This window comes from Homo sapiens, chromosome 2, assembly GCF_000001405.40.
Source record: "Homo sapiens chromosome 2, GRCh38.p14 Primary Assembly".
NCBI lineage: Eukaryota > Metazoa > Chordata > Mammalia > Primates > Hominidae > Homo > Homo sapiens.
The window spans coordinates 50,620,647-50,644,392 of NC_000002.12; the positions used below are offsets into that span (position 1 = coordinate 50,620,647).

At 35.1% G+C, this 23,746-nt stretch overlaps 1 protein-coding gene and 1 long non-coding RNA gene across 18 annotated transcripts in view; one reads left to right on the top strand and one right to left on the bottom strand.

Annotated features, from left to right (window-relative positions):
- NRXN1 (neurexin 1) overlaps window positions 1–23,746 on the bottom strand; it is a 1,113,630-nt gene that overhangs the window by 702,144 nt on the left and 387,740 nt on the right. For 6 of the 15 annotated variants that reach the window (NM_001330093.2, NM_001330094.2, NM_001330085.2 and 3 more), the window contains 2 exons: window positions 2,668–2,969; window positions 580–603 (listed from right to left, as the gene is read on the bottom strand). In NM_001330093.2, coding sequence (NP_001317022.1) covers window positions 580–603; window positions 2,668–2,969 — 326 coding nt within the window. Of the gene's footprint in view, window positions 1–558; window positions 604–2,667; window positions 2,970–23,746 lie in introns of all 15 variants that reach the window. The other 9 variants (NM_001330096.2, NM_001330087.2, NM_001330088.2 and 6 more) reach the window with 2 other exon arrangements.
- On the top strand, window positions 278–12,086 carry LOC101927089 (uncharacterized). 3 transcript variants are annotated; one of them, XR_245002.5, is made up of 4 exons: window positions 278–365; window positions 4,165–4,257; window positions 10,631–10,737; window positions 11,702–12,086. It is a non-coding gene; the product is annotated as an uncharacterized LOC101927089 (long non-coding RNA). The 3 variants fall into 3 exon arrangements; XR_940083.2 differs by having other exon boundaries at window positions 336–443; window positions 10,616–10,737; XR_245001.4 differs by having other exon boundaries at window positions 337–443.

Sequence of the window (23,746 nt, forward strand, 5' to 3'; positions counted from 1 at the left end):
AGCAATTGTTCAGCATGCAAGTGCCTAAGTCCATGCCAAAGGGAGAGAAAAGGCAAAACAACCAGTAGAAGCGGCACACGCTGATGTGCACATGCAGGAGGTACAGTACAGTTCAGAAAAGGAAAGAAAGAAAACAGGGAGAACCAAAGGAAAAACATAAAAATAAAAACAACTGCTTTGTGATGACGTAAAGATGAGTGGGTGTGGCATCTCCAGCATTCCCAAATCAAGTTTCCATGCCATGCATCATGAATGGTTAGAGACTGGCTGAGCTGCGGTCACTCGGGCCAGCCACCATTTTGTCTTATCCCGTGTTAACCACAGCTGGATGCAAAACGTTCGAAACGTTAACGATGCCCCTACAGGTGAGTTGGAAAACAGAAGTTGACAGGAACAGGTAAAAAATAAGAAGGTCAACAACAGATGAAAAGAAGGAGGTCAAAGTAAGCAGAAGAGTACCAACCGCAGTTCCTCTTTTGTTAATGATGTCTACAGTTAAAAGAAAGAAAGAAAACACACGGCAAACCCAAAATAAGAAACAATTAGAATGATATCTACCGAACAATGTAGTTTGTTTACCATAGCGTGTCCAATGCCTGAGTGCTTTGTGGAGAAGGGGGGAGAAAGGAAATTAAAAACTGTGAACAGAATAACGATCGTTACTTAAAAAATATGATGGTCTCTACCATGTTAGTACATTTTTTGATTCAGGTAACGGTTAGTAGAATGAAACATTCCATGAATGACATGTTAGTTATTAAGCATGTTAGTAACATAGAAAAAGGGCAAAAAAATTTTACAAGAAAAAAGCAGACTAACAAGTAGGCCTCCCACAGAGGTAATATTTTTCCTGCTATTATTGTTCATAATTTGCTACTAGACAGAAACAGACACATGACAATGTTCCCTTTGTCTTCCTGAGTACATCTGAGAGACATTGGAAAAGTCTAAAAGGGATTCAAAGGCCTAAAGCGTTTCAGCTGACCACTGCAGCCCTATGCCCATACTTGACCCCTCCTCCACCCTGGCCCACCCCAGCCCCAGGAAATTAGTAGGAATCAGTTGGCATTGCCCTACTACTCAATTTTACAGCATACAAGGACTCCTCCTCAACTTCAAAACTTCCTTCGGTCATATTGATGGACTTTAGGGTCACAGTTTACTGCAATGAAACAAAGCAAAGATCCTGACACATAGAATGAGTAGAATGGATTTGTGTTTAATCTGTCCTGCTACACATGCACCCCGGCTGTATAACTACAGTTTCCTTTGAGCTACCAATTCGCAGTTTGGTTTGTAACCTGAGCAAAGGCAAATCTAGAAAGTGGACTCCTTGAGCCCCCACCCTTCCTTCTGTGCTTCTCTCAAATGAGCCTCTGGTTTCTTTGTGCATATCTGAGAGAAAAAATTAAAAAAGGAAAACCAAAGAGACAGACTTATAGGAAATCCATGGTCTACAGTTATACTGATGGTGGCCAATCCTCTCCAAAGGCAGGTGGAAGCATGCAGGGCCCCTCCCATGTCAATGAGGGATCTGGAAGGTCTGGGGTTCTCAAGAATCTTTCAGTTTTATTTGTTTGCCTTAGCTAGACTAAATCTACACTCCTAAAGCTCCTTTTTCTTTCTCTAGCTCAGATAGTATAAACCTTTCAGAACAGGAAAGAAAAGGTTAGACAGTTAACAGCTCTGAAAGAGAGGGCTGTTTTGGTAAAGGAAAACCAGAGACAATCCGGTCATTCTGCAACTGTTCAGAGAAACAACAAATATGTTAAGGATATTAGTTTAAGATCAGCATGTACGGCAATAAAATTAGTCACTGTCAACACTTAACAAAATGATACACTGTAATATAAAGTTTCACATAATACCCAAAACTTATAATGTTCAATATAAAAGGACAATCTATTCATTTTCATTCGTATATATACTGTAATCACGTATTCATTAAAAACATACAGTATATGTAGACCCACAGATTTAGTAAATAGTTGATATTTTCCTAGTATATAGCATCTTGAAAAAGTTTTTTTAAAAAAATACAATTAAATAGAAATGGGCACCTAGAAGATTAACTGGCCTTTCCAGAGTCATTTGGGGTTTAACTTAAAGCATCTATGCTAAAAATAAAAGTATCTTCAAAAACAGACCCTTCAGGAGATATGTAAGCCCCTAAAGAAATTTTTCCCCTCAGGGACTTCTCTTGTCCCCATTTTGGGGTTGGGAGGAGGAGGGAGTAGGGACTGATACAATCCCAAATCACAAACACTATTTTTTCGACTACAAAAAAGGAACTGTGACTTAATGACCCCAATGTGCATGCTTCCAAATGATCACCATGAAAACTACAATTTAAAATTAAACAAACAAAAAAACCAAAAACACAACAAAATCACACACATCACAGGAAGGGCAGGTCGCAGGGATATCCTTGCAGCCCTTTTGGAAATTTTCATATGGCCCTGTATCAAAATAGCCTTTGGGCTCCCAGAACTTTCTAGATATGCCCCTGCTCAAGTATGGCAGGAAGATTCATCTCAGAAGAAGAAAAAGCTAATTTGCAAGTGACTCTGAGGAGCCCTGTATCATGTTGTTAGAGTATTTAAGTACCACACACACAGCTATAGCGAGAAACAAAGCCAGTTACTCTCTTATCCACTGCGCTGTTACCTGACGCAGATTCCTGGTGACTTTCACATCATGCCAGGCATTATCATTAAACTTTCCATTCACAGGCTCCACTAGTGCTTCAAAGGCCCCTGATCCCAAATTAATGACCAGAGAGACAGCTCCATTTTTCAGGGCAAGATTGACATAATCAGCCGATTTCCCAGTGTGAAGCATCAGTCCATTCCTCTGAAGGGTTTTAAATGACAGAGTTATTTCATCACTGCTGCTTTGAATGGGGTTTTGAGACAAGTCGTAGCAGAAGTATTCAGATCCTTTGAACGTGGCAATATATTCTTCTTTTCCTAGAGGAAAACAGATGATACATACATAAGTAAACAAATACACTATGCAAATCAGCAGGTCTTAACAGAAACAATAGCTAATCACTCCCCAAATTAACCTGCTTAATTAGATTTCATGACATGAACTCTGTCTCAGTCAAACAGTACTGTACAGGGCAGTATTTTTTAAAAAATTTTATTATTATTATACTTTAAGTTTTAGGGTACATGTGCACAATGTGCAGGTTTGTTACATATGTATACATGTGCCATGTTGGTGTGCTGCACCCATTAACTCGTCATTTAGCATAACTCATCCTAATGCTATCCCTCTCCCCTCCCCCAACCCCACAACAGTCCCCGGTGTGTGTGATGTTCCCCTTCCTGTGTTCATGTGTTCTCATTGTTCAATTCCCACCTATGAGTGAGAACATGTGGTGTTTGGTTTTTTGTCCTTGAGATAGTTTGCTGAGAATGATGGTTTCCAGCTTCATCACACGTATGTTTATTGCCGCACTATTCACAATAGCAAAGACTTGGAACCAACCCAAATGTCCAACAATGATAGACTGGATTAAGAAAATGTGGCACATATACACCATGGAATACTAGGTGGCAGTATGTTTTTAATAAATCTCAACTATTGGGCCATCAACTGCAGTAGCTAAAGCTGACATTCTTGAAAATTCAATTAATTTTTCAGTATCACTGCAAGAGCTCTGATCAGAGAAAGTAGTTCTGTGATATCTCCAGGGCATGAATCAGGTACCATAAATGCATATTGGATGGTTCCACTCTGCTGACAACAATGGATTCCAAGATGTTTTCAACATTCTCTCCATCCAACTGAGGCATTATTTTAATTTTCAGTGAAACATTTATGTTCAAAGATCTTTTTCAATGAAGAGACAAACAGTTTTATCATTGAGAGACCATAGAAAATTATCTGGTAAGGAGAAAGGGAAGAAAAAAAGATAGAATCTGGTCTGGGAGTAAACAGACCTCCTACAGAGCATGTGCATTTTTTATCTCTGGATGGAGGGAGTAGTGATAGAAAGTCTAATGGAGTCAGCTGGATTACTGATCTATTCCCTGGTGTAGTTAAGCAGATGGTAGGGCTGGCTGTTATGACACTGGTAAGAATTCTAGCACATCGTCATGGGGATAGCATGTAAATGAAGTCTCAACATTTTCTACGTATCTTATTCTTTACCAGATTTAGGAGTAACAAGGCGGCTCTCACGAGATGCTAGACAGATCAAACAGAAAGGTGGATATTTGGAAGGAACAGTCTTCTCCCACTGATGAGGTGAGTTGAACCAAAGGAAGAATGTAAGCCATAAGACCCCTTGACTTTCTAGGCAGTAATGATGCTGTGCCAAGAAAAATGAGACAGCATGGTTGGGAATCAGCTTCTGATAAACTATAAACATATAATTATAAACGGTACTGGAGAAACTTAATCTGTCCCACTGGCGACATACTATCACTATTATGCCCCCGAGAGGGTTGATACATCAGCAGGTGTTGCATTCTCCCCTGTAATAGGTTTTTAATCTCAGGACTATTTTCATTTGATTGTCAAATAACTCACGTCCTGGAATCAGAGCTCAAATCGCTTTCAACGCATCAGTGCCAGATGATCTGCCTTCCTGGATGTAGAAAATGGCCATCAGTGGCTACAGGTAGTCAAACCATAGCAATAAATATCACGGTGAGCACCTACAGGTATTCACCAGGAATTGAGCCCTGGAATATTAGTCATTGACTACTAGCAAATTATTAGCCAAGACTATCAGTCAGACCAAATAATTCTGAGTAAGTCATAGGAAAGACCTCCCAATCTGTAATAGTGAATCCCTCCCATTCAAACGCTCAGAATATTGGCTGAGCACCTCCCAAGTGTTAAGCCCAGTACCAGTTATTAGAGATAATGAAGTGAACACAATGGACTTAATTCCTGTCTCGGAAAGTTATAGTCCAGGTGTCTGCTCCCCTGGTCAGTCCAACATGGCAAGTGGTTCAATATTGGGCACAAGTACAACTATATATTACTATTATACTGAGAGGAAAATGTGGGTCAAAATATGAGTTTGGATTGTAGGTTGGCCACTAGCTGTCACTAGAACAATTATTTGCTTTTCAAATTTTGGTTTCTGAAAATGGTTAGAGATACCAATCTTTCAGAATGAATGTGAAGATACAATGAGATAATGTCTGTGCAGACATCTGGTAAAGTTGATACGCTGGTGATAAATAGTCAATGTCTTCCTGCTTGCCTAATTAATGTGATAAATGTGATAAATCATCTAAAACAAACAACATAAATCGTATGTTATTATGAAATCTAGAATTTTCTCTTTAAGATAAAAAACAGGACAAGGATTCCCACTGTCAACATTTATATTCAATGCTACACTTGACATTGTAGCTAATGCAGGAAGACAAGAAAAGTATATGAACATTGTAAAGATTATAAATGAAGAAAATCATGTGATATAAGCAAATATATTGCACAAATTGAAACACTAAAATAATCTACAGAAATTATTTGGCTTAATAAGAGACTTTGGAAAGAATTTAGAGTTCTGTGTACTAGAGACAATCAATGTTTCAACATATGTAAATAGATTCATAGATTCAATGAAATCCTAATCAAAATCTCAAAAAATTTAAAAAAACAGGTAAAAAGCTGATTCTTCACAATCTATGAGAAAAAAAAAGAGTCCCAAATAGCCATGATATGCCAGAGAAAGAAGATGAAGTAAGTTGCCTGCGTAAAGATGGACATTTATTACAAAATTATAGTGCTGAAGAAAATGCATTAGGATAGGTAAAATGAGGAGAATAACGATAATCAAACTTAAAATATTCTTAAGCATATATGAAAACAATTTACACTGTCAAGCATTTCAGATAAGTGTGCAAAAGATAGATTAGTCAATAAAGGTTACTGGGACAATCAGTTATTCATAAGAAAAAAGTGAAATTGGATCTTTACATCCTTTGTTCACAAAAATCAATTCTACATGGATGCCCGATTTAATTTAGAGAGGCAATCTGTGAAAACTTGTCAGACAATAAAGTTTGATATGGAAGAATGGAAGGACTTCTAAAATTAGCATAAAGGCACTAATAAATATTGATACACTCATCTACATTAAAATTAACAATGCTGGGTCATCAATAATACCATAGAGTAAGAAGTTAAATAACAATTTTGGAGAAAATATTTTCACTTCCTATTAATCAACAAAGGATTATAATCCAGAATATGCCAAGCACCTCAGCGAATCAATACAAAAATAAAGACAACCAATGAAGAACACACACAAAAGAAATGTAATTTCATGGAAAAACAGATATGTATTGCTTATGAATAATGAACAGATATTCATTCCTATTAGTATTCAGGAAATGGTAAAAATCAAACTACATTCAGATACCATTTCATAGCCATGAAATTGACATAAAACGAAAAGAAAAGAGAATAATTCCACATTTTGCCAAGGCTACCGAAAGTCATTCTTATATACTGCTGATGCTGATAAGATAAAAATTGACCAACTGTAATAAGTTTCTTTTGGCATTATGCAATCCCATGGGAATTTCACATATTACAAAGAACTTGGGTCTCAGTCCTTAGAAAATAGTTAACCAGGATCAGTTAACTAAACATTTGCCAATTCCTTCAACTCATTTGTCATTGCTTATTGTTCTGCTCATTTGATGATAGGTAGTCAAGTGGGTTCTGGTTCATGTATGTGTGTGTGTGTGTGTGTGTGTGTGTGTGTGTGTGTGCGCATACTAATAATTATATATGAAAACAATTTATATTGTCTGGCATTGCAGGTAAGTTAGCAAAAGATACAGAGGTCACTAAAGGTTGCTGGGACTATTGGTTATCTATAAGAGAAAAATGAAATTGGATCTTTACATCCTTTTGTTTCCCAGAATCAATTCTACATGATGAAGGATTTAATTTAGAGAGGCAATCTATGAAAGCTTTTGTCAGACACAGACACACACACACACACACACACGAGAGATCCACTTATCTGAATATGGTATTTGCAAAATTTTACATTCCCACTGAATAAGTAGATCTCTGAGTCAGCAGGAGCCTTAAAGACAATCCTGCAGCCCAACCCATTAATTTACATTATTAAGAAAGCGAGGCTCATGGAGTTTATATGACCCTCAAATTCATAAAATGTGACAGTAACAGAAGTGGGACTAGGATTCAGACTACTAATCCAGATACTGTCTAACATGCCACAACACCTGTGTGTCAGACAGAAGTGATATATAGCATTGTGAAAGAAAGAAAAAAAGAGAAAAAAAACTGTTTGTGAAGATATGTCTTAGTAAGAAAATAATAACTGTGTTTTAGTCTACTTAGTTTAAAAGAGCAGGTAATATATTAAGAAAGATTCCACTTAGATAACTAAATTATAAAGTTTTGGAGCTTGAAGAGTTTTGGTCCAGTAAGAAGGCTGTAGAATTTTATCCAAGATATCTTGTATCATTCCAAATCTGCATAACTCAGAATAAATCTCAACAAAGGTTTTGTTTGCCAGATAATGTGGCATACCCAAGGGGTTAAATAATAAACAGTTTGCAATTCACTATGTAATAAACTTTGAAGTTATATGGGTGTTGATGTATTTTTAACACTATGATATTCCCCTTACTTAAAAATGAAAATATATCATTTCTTTTGTATTGTTTAATTCCAAATTTAAGTAATTCAAATTTACATTAAAGGCAACCACATAGTTTTGGAAAAAATTCAGTCTGTGGAATATGCAATTACCTTAAAATGCCATAAATGGGACATAAATCTAAGCAGGGAAAATATTTCTTCCTATGTTCTTTTTCATGAAAGAACATATATACTACATGAAAATACAAAAATCACTTTTTCACAATATATAAGAATATTATGTTTCATCTAATCATTTGCTACCTTACAATCTTTGTAAGTAAGCTTTGTGCTATTCTATAAACAAATACTAAGCAGCAGAGTGTTTACATATGTGTTTCTGCTGAACACTTAAAGAATAAGTCTACGTCCATTTTTAAATACAAGTCCCAAATAACTTTTGCATTTCTACTATGTGCTAAAACAACGAAAATGAAAAAGAAATTAGACCCAAAGCCACGTAAATGTCAATAAATACTTATATCTAGGATACAAAGAGACCTCTTACAAATCAATAACAACAACAACAAAAAACAAAAACGCAACACAAGCCAATGGGAAAAAAATGATAAAGTAGTTGAACAGACATTAAAGTATAAAAGGCTATCTTCAAAGAAATGCAAAGTAAACCATAATGAAATAACAGCACACTCCACAGAATGAATAAAATGAAAAATACAAAAAAATCCAGTGTCAGTGAGGATGTGGGGCAACTAGAACTCTCATACATTATTGGTAGGAACTATTTTGTGAAATTGTTTGGCATTCTCTTTTAAAGCTGAACTTGGGCCTACCCTATGATCCACCAATTCCACTCATAAGCATATATCCAACAAAAAATACACATATCATCAGAATAGCATACTAGAATGTTTACAGTGTTACCCTGCATAAATTATCTAAAACTTAACACTACTGAAATAACAACCAATAATAGAATGGATAAATTTCAGTATAGTCACACAATAGAATATTAAATAACAATGTGAATCTATGAGCTGCAACTGCAACAGAAATACAGATAAATCTCACAATAATAATGTTTAGCTAAAAAAAATGCCTGACACAAAAGAGAACATAGTTCTGATTCCATTTATATAAAAAATTTAAAAACATGCATAACTAGCCTCTGTTGTTGTAAATCAAGACAGTGGCTATGCTTGGTAGAGATGGAGAGGGGATAGTAGTGAGGAGAACTCTTGGGGTACAATTAATGTTGTTCTTGATTTAAGGGTTGCCTATGGGTGTGCTAAGCGTGTGAAAAATTAATTTACCTGGACATTTATGCTACATTTATCAGCATAAATACTATATTTCAATAAAATGTTTGAATAATCTGGATGATTAAGCATAAAATGAATTTGTCTGATGAAGTATTTTCTTCCTGATTAATAAGATGATATGAGAAGACACTATTCCTATTAATGCTACTATTAATAGTAAAAGCTAAAATAAAGCCAATAGTAATAATTTCAATTGTCACTTTTTAAAACTTTTCAATGAATATTAATATCCTTTAATTACCATTTGCTCTTAAGAGTAATCTCTCAAGATTTAAAAAATATATATATACGCTGCTTGGTAGTAATTGTTTGAAGATCCATATCTTAAATGTGTTGATTAATGGATTGATTCAAGATGAAAAGAGCCTCTATTTCTAGCCACAGCAATGTTATGATAAAATTGGGAAAAAGTAATATTTAAAAATTTGAAGCATCTTTCCAATAGTCTACAACAATTGATTTTATGTTGCCACACAGTTGGAGGAAAATATTTAAGAGTCTGCCATGGGATTTCAGTCCCATTCCATATCCGACACACTATAACTTAGAAGAAAATTCACAGTTCTTGCTCATCTAATTTTCTGAGAGTAAGCTCAACTTTAAGATTTTTTTGATATAAAAACAAACTTCTTATAGAAAAAAAAGTTAACCATTACTGAACCACTTCATTGGATGTTGTAGAAGGTGTTCAATCCTTAGATGGTAGATTGAACAAATGGATTGGTTTCAACACCAAGAATCACTGATTTCTACTTTACGGGAAAAAAAATGTTAAACAAAGATAGGTTAAATGACTTCCTAAGTTCACACAAAAATTGATTCTCAGGACAATGCTCCTTTGCATTACCAGTGCATAGAATATAATCTCATTAATTTGACCCAATGCCTCTGTATCTTCTAACTTCACTGAACTTCTTCACCAAATAAATAATCTGCAAGGAAATTACCGTACATCTTAAAGACAAGGATGCCTGCGGGCAGAACGAAGTCCCACTGTCCCCAGTTACATGAAGAATGTCAAGTCATTTTTGTATGCCAAAAAACTAGCCAATATTATTATTCTTGATTATATTGCTTTTCATACATATAATCCCAAATCACACAGGTTGGAAGGTTTTACTATAGTTATATGATTCAAAGATTATGTTCAACATAAACCAGAAACTAAAATCAATATATGAAAAAACAAATGAATGAAAAAAGATATTTGGGTGAGAGCCCTGCTTCATTTATTTTTCTATTCTAGAAGTCAAATACACAAAAATATTGTGCCAAAAACATCCTTGACCAAGCAGATGTACACATTAGAAGTCTGCATTATTAAAACAAATAAGCCAGGCTGTCTCTGCTATAAGATAAAACAACTTTAGAAAAGCAGAAAAGGAATGTCTGCTTATTGAAATTCATATCAAATTAAATCCTCAGTCCTTAAGAAATTTACTATTATCTTATTTGCCACGAACTGTGTAACTGAGAAATTAAAACAATAAATTGATTATTACAAGTAAAAATCACATTACTTTCAAGGGAGAGTAGTTCACTCATTAGATTTTCTACGTAATATATGTTGTAAAATATTCTAAAATTACCAACTATTTTTCAACATATGTAAATTCTGAGTCTAACTTCTCTTGTTCTGCAGCGAGTAATCAAGATTTATAAAATATTCACTCTTCAAGACTTATCTCACTTAGGTAAACCTCGAGACCAATCCAGAAATAAATTGCCAAGCTTCTATCAAATAATTCAAAAGGAGACCCAGGACTCTTGATGATACACTTGAAGTCACTAAATATGAAAGGTAAGTTAGACTTAGACATTATTTAGTCCAGTGCCTTCATTTATTAGATGAACAGTGTCAGGGCCCAACAGACAAAACTATGGTCACATAACTAACTGAGGAAAAGTCAGAATATAATCCTTGCCCTCTTGATAACAGTCTCAGGTTCTTCCTAATTTCTAGATATTGCCATAAAATGAGCTTCTAATTCATTACCAAAAACTAAATGCAGCTTAAATTTGAGGATATTTCTGCAAAAGAAAATAGGACATGTTCCAAAACTCTAGTACGATAATTTTCCAATCTTATTGTGCAATTGATTTGCATTTGTTAAAATAACCAAAGGTGCTGAGAACCAAACAGGCCATTCTGTGTCTGGCTGGACTGACTAGTCAGTTCTACATATAAAATGAGACACACAGGGAAAGGAATGAACAAATGATCCTGGAATTCATTAGGTGTGCAACATTTCAATTTCTGGGACTGACTCAGATTCAAGTACCTACAATGTAATCTATAAGAACTAGATGCTGTATCTTTTAACCTGAAGAAAATCATTAACACAATCAAAATTAAAAGTAGCTTCATGAATATGGACTTTATAAAGATTCTCTGCAAGAAATTTGAAAATTTCTGGGTGCCAATTAATGATTACTTAATAAATAAGTAAATTATAATAATGTTATTATATTCAAGGAGATGTATAGGTATTTTGTATTTATAAACAGTCCTCATTTATGAAATGGATATGAAGTAAATAAATTTAACTATGAAATCATCTTATTACCGACTTGGTCAAGGCAATATATTCTGAGCAATTTATCTATTTAACCAAACCCCAAAGAATAGCCAATTGCTTCTTTCTCCCTAGAATCAGACTGGGGTGGTCTGTAACTCTAAAAATCTATAATTTAATTTATGCAAATATTGTGGCCATCTTGTAAGCTGTTCTAAATTATAGAATGTATTTTTTTAATATACACAGATGATAGCATCTTGGAAGGCAAGAGCAGAGGAAAGGAGAATTTTCACAGGGAAGAAGAAAGAGTTGGTGAAAGTGAAATTGCTTTAACAAAATAATGATCTCTATACCTCCTTCTCGAACTGTGGTTTGAAGGACAGTATCATCAGCATTACTTGGAGCTTGTGAGAAATTTAGAATTTCAAGGCCCCCTCGACCCCAACTTACTGGTGCAAACTCTGTATTGTAACCCGATCCCCAAGGTGATTCTAGTGTACATTAAAGTGTGAGAGTCTTGTTATGAATGGATTCTTATAGTGCTGCAATTTAGAACATCTTTTAAGAATTATAAAGACAATTTTGTGTCTCTTGTATCTGAAATAAGTATTAAAGGCAAAATATATATTGATATCATGGCACTGTTCTTAAGGAATTAACATCCAGATGAATTATTTTGCATCTTTTCATTGGAAATAAAAAGCCCGGGGCTGGGTGGCGGGCGAAAGAATCAGAGAGCTCTGATCAGTGTGTAGATGTATCAATATCTATTTAATATGTACTCCAGCAGAGAGTCCAGGCTTTAAATCATTGGAAGCAATCTCTCAATTTTTATTCTCAACATGTTTCACCTTTAGGCAATATTACAATAAAATTCTCTGTGGGTTTGTAAACTTAGTGCCACTCTTCTGGATAAATGTAAAGGGTGTATAACTCCTGGTATATTCTAACAAGTCATCATTATTGGTGAATATACTTAACAAGTTTCATGCAACTGCATTTACGGTTCTCCCTAGAAATGTCTTTGTTCATACACTGCTGCAACTGAAAACTATCATGCATTCTGGATGTAAACTGATTCAATGAAAACAAATGGGCCTGGGCTGTCACATTTCCACTTACTATAGTCAAGTGAACTTGGAACATTTTAAAGTTAGTAACACTTAGAAATGCAAGAAATATATACTGCTAACTCAAAGTATCCTATGTTTTAAAAAAGAATGACAGTTTTTTAAAAGAAAGAAAAAAAACTAAAATTATCTTGATATCCCCAGCACATTAAGTAGAGGAGAGGGTAATAAATATGTGATAAGTGTAATGAGAAATCATGCTGGATGGGAAGAAATGTACTTTTGTAACTCCATCCATTCGTGTGCTTCATAGAAGGCTTGACCAAGGCTTTTTGGTTTATTTTGTTTTGTTTTTTTTTTCAGATGGAATGCTACTTTGTTATTAAAATAATGCAAAGAAGTAGGTCAGTATACACTAAAATCAGTATAAAATAAGAACACTTGAATTGTTGCATACCATTCTTCACAGTAGGAGCACAAGAGAAGGAACACTGAAAACCTATGGCATATCTTTGATTTCAACACAGAAAGAGCATAGAATCCAAAGGTTTAACACATGCAAATCCCCTATTCTAGATATTAGAAATACAACAGTAAATAAGGCTCTCAGGGTCTCCACTCTCATCAAACCAGTGATGGAGAGATAACCATAAGTGAGTCAAGTATAAGTGAGTTATATGTGAAACTGAGCAAGCAAAAGAGTGCAATGAGGGTGTGCAATAACTGAGCAGGGAAGTTGTTTTAGATGATTGGGGAAGCTTTATGAGACAATGATGATTAAATTGAGATCTTAATGCTGAGGAACCACTTGTGGGAAGATCTGGACAAAGAATAGAAAGAATAGGAAAAAATCCAGTGAGCATTGAGCACAGTGACACTGGGGCAATGTGGGAATACAATGAAATCAGAGCTGTGGGATGGGGCTATGTCATGTAAGTCCTTCTAAATTTTGGGCAAACTCTTTGATTTTATTCGATGCACAATGGGAAGCTACTAGAGTTTTATAGTTAGGGGAATGACATGGTTTGATTTACATCTCAAAAATATAACTCTGTCTATTGTGTGGAAAATAAACTCTGCGTAGGCATGGAAGTGACAGCAGTGAGTCCAACATTTATGAAGTTATAGAACATAGGAGTACGGGCTATGAAATTATACATATCTGGGTTCAAATCCCACTCACATGAGCAGTTGGGTAAATAATCACCTTAAAGTCTTAGTTTTCTTGTCAGTAAATGAAGACAATAATACTAGGATCTATTTTATAGGGTAGTTGTAAGGATTAAACAATATATGCATAATAAGCTTTTTAAAGACTGTCAATCCATGGGATATATTTGTGGAATATAAACAGAATATTTATGTATATATGTTATATTTCTTCATCTACTGCTTTTAACCATTAAGTTACTTCTTTTCCCCATCTCTTAATATCTTGGGCAGAATCACTGAATTTGTGGTCACTTTTGGTTTTTAAAAGTTTGGGCTAATTTATAAGTTAATCATGTCATCATTTTTAGTTGAAGTGGAGGAGGAAGATGTAGTATGCCTCTAGGTGTCTTACCATCACCGCCCCCTCAAGACCTGGCCCTTCCAGTTTATTGGGAAGGAGCTGATGAGGGGAAGAGAAAAGAGCAGTGGTTATTCATATAGTCCTCTTTCTGTGGGCTGTACCTGCTTCTCTGGTTCACCCTTACTGACCTCTGCTGCCCTTCATGCAGTAGACTCATGAGTGCTCCATGTGACTTCCCAACAGCAGTCAACAACATGAGAGAAATTCATCTGTCTCATCCCCCAGCTCATCTCCCAGCTCTAACCTTCACACAACACCCCATAGCATCTGGCTGCTCTAATCCCCTGGCCCAGCTAGTGGCCTTCTTGTGAGTAATACCGGCTAGGTGGCTCAAGCCAAAGACTCAAAGGGATATCTCCTTTACTGATGCCTGTGGGCATTCTGGCTGCACCGAATGTTGCTGGTACAGATTAAATTCTTCTTTTTTTTTTTTGATAGAGTCTCGCTCTGTCACCCAGGCTGGAGTGCAGTGGCGCGATCTCAGCTCACTGCAACCTCCACCTCCCGGGTTCACGCCATTCTCCTGCCTCAGCCTCCCAAGTAGCTGGGATTACAGGTGCCCGCCACCATGCCTAGCTTTTTTTTTTTTTTTCTGTATTTTTAGTAGAGACGGGGTTTCACCATGTTAGCCAGGATGGTCTCGATCTCCTGAGCTCCCGACCTTGTGATCTGCCCGCCTCGGCCTCCCAATGTGCTGGGATTACAGGCGTGAGCCACTGCGCCGAGCCAGATTAAATTCTTCTTGTCCCCTCTTTCTACCCTGCCAGTCCTCTTCTTCCCTCCTCAGAAAGGCATAGGGCAGGCCAGCAAGTCTGATGCATACAAAGTCATGCATTGGGAATGCAGAACACCAGCTTTCATTTCTTTCCCAGCATACACAGGCTCTACATGTGATTCTATAGTTTCTTCCCTCAATTACTTTTGGTAAAAAAAGCTAACCTCTTCATTAACAATATGTTTTACAGAGCCTATGCCTTAAAGACTCTGTGCTGACCTATCCGTCACTGCTTAGGTAGATAAGGGAGGTGGGAAGTGGGGAGTTAGAAGTAGTTGAAGGGTCAGTCTTTCGGTCCTGTAGTAAATGCTGAGGAAGGTTAACTGGCCAGTTTAGGGAGGTTCCATTTACAATGAAGGCTACTTAAATTCTTTTCTTTCAGAAGGTTCTAATCAACAATTCTATGAGAAAAATTTCCATTCAACATATGGTGGACAATCAATTAATGTTAGATATTATGATCATTATTATTAAAGTAACCACTACATTTAAAATCACTACTCAGCAATTTTAAAAAATCAGCTTTTTACCAAATGTTTTATTGCCCAGAATATCACGATGCCCAACACCCTCATTCTAGGAGCACTTGGTTAATTAAGGCTCATTACATAAGAACGAGATTGAAGTATTGTAAATAGAAAAAAAATACATGTTTCTATTGATGGTTTATTCTTTTAAACAAGTTTGTGCCTGAGTAACTTACAAAATAATTTTATAAAATATTTGCTATTTATTTATTTTTTTATTTGCTCAGGGAAACGCATCAGGCTAAGAATTACGAGAGTGAAACACTGGTTTCTTCTTGGACACTTTTCAGCTCTGCCCTTTACCACCCTACTTAGCCTCACTGGGCCTCATTTTCCCTCCTGGCAAAGTGACACAGTCAGACTAAGTGATCTCCAATGTTTCTTTCCATTCTAAAACTCTATGGTTCTATAACATTCTCGATTTATTGAGCCACTGTTTCACTGATTCATTCAATAAACATTTATTGAAGCCCAATTCTGTGCCAAACTCAATTGCTCTCCTGCTGTCAAAATCAGGCAACATGCTAGAGTTAAAATGTCTTTAAAGATTTCTGATGGCTGCTGCTTTTAAAAGGAACTTCCCATAGCAACCCCTACCTCTTTGTGCTTCTAGAGCTAGCTCTCCTATTATTCTGTGAGGACTTACAAATTCAGAAAGACAAAGGAATATGGAAAGGCCTGGTATTCACAACCTACTAGATGTAAATTTCCTATTCCTAATCACCTTTCTTCCACAACCCAGAAAACAATACCTTCAATGGATTTGCTAGTGTTACAGATTGTGTTTGATTATTTGTCCCCAAATTTAAAGTACTTCTTCATATAATTGCAAATATACGCATAGAAAATAAAATATTTTAAAAGAAAGCTAATATTATATACTATAAGTCTTAATTTGAGATTATACATATTTATCCAATAAAAGTATAGAAGGATCAATCAATACTGACTAGTGTTTCCCTATGGGCTCCATGGATAGAGCCCATAATTTGAAATTAGGAGCCCTAGGTTCAATTCCTCACTTTATGGTTGGTGCTATATGTCCAAGAGCAGTAAATGTAGCTGAGTCTGACTTTATTTCAATATAATGAACATAGATATTCTGTTATGCTGCATTTTCAGATTTTTAAAAAATTAAGATCTTTAATATAAATTATGAAACTGTTCTTATTAATTATATACTGGGTCTTCCATAACTTCCCGTTACCCCATCTATCATACCTGTATTGAAAACATCATTAATCAACATTCTCTAGCTCAGTATTTTTCATCCCAGATTCCCTATCTGGTTTGAGTACTGTTTTCTCAAGTATCTGAAGGGTAGTATAAAACCAGCATCATTCCAGATGCATAGGAGATAAGTTATTTCATTAAATAAGACAGACTCCTTAGGGTTTTATTCCCGTCCCAAGTTCAACAGAGTTACAGATTAAGTGCAAACACACAGAATTTATGAGAAAGACTTGAGGTAACTCACAGAATAGAAGGAATTGCTAAACCACGAATTCTTGGAGAGGAAGATACTCTGGGTAAACCCAAACTCTTGAACTCACAGTTCCTGGTCTCCTCTAGGTTTGCACCACTCATATAATTGAGCTCCAGTGAACTTGAGGTAATTCTTTTCAGGTTCTGAATTCCCCAAATCAGAAAACTTGGATAGCTCTACTTGTGTTAGAAGCCAATTCCCAGATCAGTCTTTGTGGCTGGAATAGGGATGAGGGGACAAGATTATAAAGCAGGGACATGCCAGAGAATGGCTGTGAGGGGACAGCCTAATCATTCATTAACACCTGGTATGGTCCACAAGTTAGTATTTAGATCTAGTATTTAAAAAAAAAAATTTTCCTAGGATGATGAAATTATTACCATCTCTTTTTTAGTTTTACCTTTGACATAAATTTAGATCTTAGGATCCAAGGTAAATAATGAATTTCAGCTGAATTGTGACAAGCTTTATTTCAATTGTGCATCTTTATCAGAGATCTAAGCTAAACACAGAATTATAAACTTTATAGTTGGAAGAGGGAGATCCATAACATTTACGAGACTTTCTCTGGTGCACAGGCGAAGTTGGGATGAAAAACTGGGTCTCTAGATCAGTTGACTCAAAACAGAGATGATCATCAGAATCACCTGGAAAACTTTCTACAAGAGTATATTTCCAGGAACCCTACCCACTTCCACTTTAACAATATTGGGGTGGATCTCTTGCTAACATATTATTATTTTTTTAGTTTCTAGTTAGTTCCAATGACCAGTTTATTTTAAAACTCAATGTTTTGCAGTTTTTGCTTTTAATTTTTGTTAAAGAAATGGGCCTTCTCTCACCTTATTCTCCATGAAAATAATTCACATCCCAACAAATAGCACAAAATACACAATAAAATAGACACATTATAAGAGAAGCAATCAAAAAGCAGAGCACATTGTCACTACTTAGTTTGGAAGCAATTTCATTGGTTAGAGAACATTCTGGCCAAACTGAATAACACTACCTCTTGAATATGTAGTTATAATTCACAATACTTCCATTCACTTCTCAGAGTGAGCGTTCTCTGGTCTCATGGATAGGACGCATTCCACATTCACAGGCTCCAATTGCTTTTTTTGTTGTTGTTTTCTTTTCTACTTGTGGGTAAACCAAATACCATATTAAAACAAATTATTTCTCCTTTTAAAGATCATTTTCCTTGACAGTATATGGCAAAAATATTTGATATATTTTATAGCCCATGCTTGAAATAAGTTGTCTCCTCCACCATTAACCATATGATATGCCTTCCCTACCAACAATTCACAAAACTATACAAGTTAAAGAGATCTTCCATTCAAGGGCTTTGAAAAATTTCTTCCCAGTTACCCAGGACACATATACAATACCTCAGCTTTCTACCCTCAATACACTCTTCTACTTGTGATAGGAATAGAAATTCTTCTAAATTGATTTCATAATCCACCAATGGTTCACCATCCAAACTTTGGAAAACACAAACGTTATTCAACCTTTCCATTTTATACATTAAAAAAATGAAGGTCCAGGGAAGTTAATAGACTTGGCAAAGACCACTCAGCTTATGAATGCATTGGACTAGAATTTGGCTTTATGACCCTATATCCTGTGTTCTTTCTATCACACTTTTATGCATTTATCATTTTTTTCTTTCTTTCTTTCTTTCTTTTTTTTTTTTTTTTGAGACAGATTCTTGCTCTGTCACCCAGGCTGGAGTGCAGTGGCATGATCTCAGCTCATTGCAATCTCCGCCTCCTGGGTTCAAGCGATTCTCCTGCCTCAGGCTCCCAAGTAGCTAGGATTACAGACTCCCACCACTAGGCCCAGCTAGTTTTTGTATTTTCAGTAGAGACAGGGTCTTACCATGTTGGCCAGGCTGGTCTCGAATGCCTGACCTCAAGTGATCTGCCTGTCTCAGCCTCCCAAAGTGCTAAGATTATAGGTGTAAGCCACCATGCCCGGACACTTTTCTGCATTTTTAATGCCATTTTGGATAGATTTAAATGGACATCTTTACAGTTTCAGGATGGAAATATTCATTCTGTAAAATACATGACAGTCTATTTTTTCATCATGACATTCCATCCTAATTTGATCCCTATCCTAGATACCTAATTTTATAACTCCTTGAGAAAATATATAAAATTATACCTTCATAACTTTCATATAATCAAACAATATTATCATTTTTCTGTTACAATATCAAAGTGAAGTAATCATCCCAACTACCTCACCATATTTGCACTAATTATGTTAGCCTCTCAACATCAAATTTTGTTTTTTGCAGTTTCTTTTCATATGTATTATTATAAAATTCTTTGACTCAAATGTTCGAATATTCCTACTTAAAAACAGATAATGGATTTTATTTTGATAGAATTCCCACAATAGGAATAGACTCTATATCATTTTGTAATAAAAATTACATTAAATACACATCACAATCTTGACGAGAAGTTAATTATTAGCAAATGCTAACAATTACCAGGCATCTCAGGCTAAGGTGATGTGAGAAAATGTCTAGTATTCATAAGTTGTCAAATTAACATCAAAGCAATATCAACTAAAGAGCATTAAAAAATAGCAATGCCTTGGCCCCAGACCCCACCTCAATGTTCTCTTTTAATTATCACCATAAGACTTGGGCACTGGGAGTTTTAGAAGCTTCTCAGGTGATTCTAATATGTGGAAATGGTAAAAACGCAGAGTTTAGAGAGATATGACCTAGGCATTCAATGTGTAATATCTGTGGCTCTATAACTGTATAAACTTTGTGTAATAATATCACAAAACCTTATGGTTCTTTAAACTAAAATTATACTTTAGATATGATCTATGTATAATATTGCCTTAAATTTGCATACTGCTTATGTAACTTATCAGGAAACTGGCATATTTTCTCTTATAAAGGAGAAACACTTAAATGCATTTCTTCCTCCCCTTTCCCAATTAATATATGCTTAGATGTTACATTATCAGACTGACCTTTGTAAGCATCTGATTTTAACTCTCAAGCTTTCTTTGTAAGGGCCAATATTTATGTAAAACCACACAAATGAATATGCAATCCCAGAAGAATAAATAACTATGCCAATATTACATACTGCCTTTGCAAAGGAAATATCATCTGAGAGTAATATAGGATTGTATCTTGCGACTGACTTAGACAATCACATTTGCCCAGATACAGAGAAATCCCTAATTAGCTAAATTCAGTTGTTTTCAATTTTTTCTAAATTTATGATCGTAGCCTATCTCTAAAACTCATTGTACAAATATATATGCTTTAAGTATTTCTGGTGAAACCTTATGTAACCATTCAAAGAAGGCAACTGTCGATATTATATTCTAAAGAGAAGGTCATGGAAGAAAGTCTTGGGATAAAATAAGTAGATAAAGAAATAAAGACAAAGAACAAGAGCTAGTCCTGAAACAGTTTAAGAGAAAAGTAGACACTCCATCCATCAGTAGCTTTTCCTGGATAGGCTCATCTTTCTTTAACAAGTTGACACATTTGCAAACTGCAGGCTGAAATTTTAAACGTCTAAGCTGCTTTTCCTTCTTCTAATAGAAAAGGTACAAAAAATGGTTTTTGCTTCCTTTACTGCTGTGCCTTAATAAACATTTGGCTCAAGGTTTTAACCAAGCCAAATGTTGACTAAAAGCCTCCTCATAAAAGGCTTTAATACATTTTTGCTTGTGTTTTCTTTACATGTATTTCAATTTGATGACAAATAATTTCTTCCCCATTTCCCTCATTTGCTGCTGCATGTTGGACTAATTAAAAAGCAGGCTCTTTGGAAGCTGGAATGAGAGAAAATGGAAGAGTGGGCAGGTGGGTCAAGATTGAATGTCCCTGGCTCTGGCAATACATAGGATTCTCTTCAGTGAAACATTCTCCATCTAGCTCAGATTCAAGGAAGGCACCGAAGAAGCCCTTCAGCCTTTCCTACTTCAGGTCAGAGTTCTTTTTATATTTGGCATACAACCGAGAGACATCAGAATTCTATACAAAATGGAAAGTTTTATTCTTCCCAGCAATTCCACTGCATTCTGTGGCCTCTTGGTGCTGTGGGCAGCCTTAGCAGATTTGAGGCATCTCTTAGGGCAAAGCGGTTTTGAGGTATTCTTGGCGACTGGGAAGAATAATTTAACTTCTCTTGGAATAATATCACATTCAGCAGAAAAGATCTGCTGTGCTCAAGGTCATAAATCTTGGCTCTGTGAATATTCAGTTATTCAGCAGAACAGCCACTCCAAGCCTTCAGAGCACTTTTGGATGCTGCTGCAGGTGTTTCCTGTAGAGAACTCCCTGACATCCACTGAGTTCTTGCATCTGCCTTTACCCTTCTTGATGCTGTCCATTCTGCTCTCTGAACAAACATATTCTCTTACACTTATGCACATGTATGAAATCCTAGAGATTTCCCTGAATCAACATATGCATATAGATATATGATGGACAGAATAAAGTATCAAGGGATAAAATATATTTTTAATTTTGTATTTCACTTGAAAATTGTAAGGACCATTTTATAATGTATTGCTTGCAAAATAAGTCATGGAAGCCCTGAAAAATTAATCAATTCACTAATCAAAGAAACATATATTAAAGACCTACTATGCATGAGGCACCATGCTAATTGCTTTGAAGAAGACAAAGTTGAATTAGACAGGGATCCAGTTTACAAGATATTTACAATGCAAAGGGGGATACAAGACATATAAAAGGCTATGGAACTTAAAAAGAAGAAAAAACAATTCTAAAGTATTGAGATACATTTCATTACAAGGCAAATCTTAGATAACATCTTGAAAGAGGACACATTTAAAATTTAGGAGATTTGAGGAAAAGATCCTCCAGAGTATGATATAAAAATGAGTGAAGGTTTTGAGGTGAGAAATAAAATTAATGAAATTTGACTCGATCTAAGGTGACATCATGAAGAATAATGGCAAATGAAGTTAATAAGTTTGTTTCAGGCCAGCTTGTAAAAAGTCCTTGAAAAAAGAAAAAGGAATTCCTTATATTTTTATTAGAATATCCATCTTAAAGTGAATGGTGAATTATTGATTGGCATGGATTTAGGGACAATTGCATGTCATCTTTTTCTGTTATTAGTATTACTGTTTTGAAGAATGCAATCTACCAAAATTGAAGGTAATAGTTTCAATGTAAAAATATGCAGAGTTAAGCGTTTGGAAAGCACTATTCAGGTTTAGTATATAGGAGGAAATAGGGATGGGAATGGTCTATTACTAGACATTTTTATTCTTCCTACTTATCAAATAGACCAATATGTGTGGAGGAAAAGCCTTCTTCTAAAAAGGGTTTGTTTTACACTACCTGTCAAAGAGGATATTGGTTCACTCAAGGAAACTAAGTTATATTCTATTTAACTGTGAGATATATTCCAATAAATTGCAGTAAACATAATCTTAAAATATTATAAAGAGGCCTCAGATTGTTTAAAAATACTATATTGAATATATGAGAAATAAAAGCTCAAGATATTCTTTAAAGTATATCCTATGTAAATGCCAATTTTTCTTTACAGAATAAATCTAACTACAAATGCATACAGGGCCTAAATATATTTTTATCTTGATTTTGTTCCTTTTCTTGTGTTTAAGAGCCCTGACTCCAGAATCACAAGAGACAAACTGCCACTTCATCACTTATTAGCGCTGTTTGTGTGGGCAGGCTATTTAAACATTCCAATCCTTTATTTTCTCCTCAATAAATTGTAAAAAAAAGTAATGTTTACTCAGAGGTTAATGAGTTGACACTTATAAAATTATTAGCATGGAGCCTGGCCTCAGATATCATTCTCTTCTGTATACAATTTTTATGTGTTTGTTCTTTAAACTTATAAATCAGTTCCATCAGACTTTTTACTTCATGGCAAGCTGCTTTTATTTCTAATTAAGAAAACATTCCTGACTCCAAAATTTATAAAGACTTTTTCTCTCTTTTCTTCAAGTATTTCTATAACATTGTAATGCATTTAGTGTTTATCCATATGAACGGTATGATATTGGAATCTAATTTTACTTTTCCACATGTATAATCAGTTCTTCCGATACTGTTAAGTATTGTATCCTTTATGTAATTATTAAATATCATATATAACAGATAAAAAACTCTGTATGTACTTACATCGATTTCTAGACTCCATTTTCTCTAAACATCCCTTGTCTGTTTCTGTGCCAGAACTAGACTGTTTTAATTATAGTTGTTTCATAGTACCTTTTGGTATCATGCTGGTAACTTCCCTAAACTGTTACTTTTCTCAAAAAATTTAGGCTTTTATAAACATTTAGCTTGCATATCAATTTTACAGTTTGTCAAGTCCCTAACCTCCTCCCCAAATTGAGACTGTGAATTGAATTGCCCTCAGTCTATAATTTAAAGTTTGAATCATCCTATTCAGAGGCACAAAGTTGTTGGTTTTTTTTGTTTGTTTGTTTTTTACTTATTTTGGTTGTGCTTTGTACCCTTCCCTAAAGTGTTATTATTTTCTTTATGTAAATCTTACATAAAACCAGTATTTTTTAACGTTCAGGTAAGATTTTTATATTCCTAGGATCTTCATGTGGAAAAAAAAAACTTAATGATTTAAACAGCTATATTAACTTGATATATGTAATTATTTGAGAGAAAATCTAGTCAATAACTTTTGCCTTCCCACTCCAGACTTCTACCCTGATTATGTTAGGTAACTGAATTGGAAAGAAAAATATTTATTCTTTATATTATTTTTTCTGATCTGAAAAAGATAGCTTGTTTCCACCAGATACATTCATATTAATAGCCATCAAGCTATACTACTTTC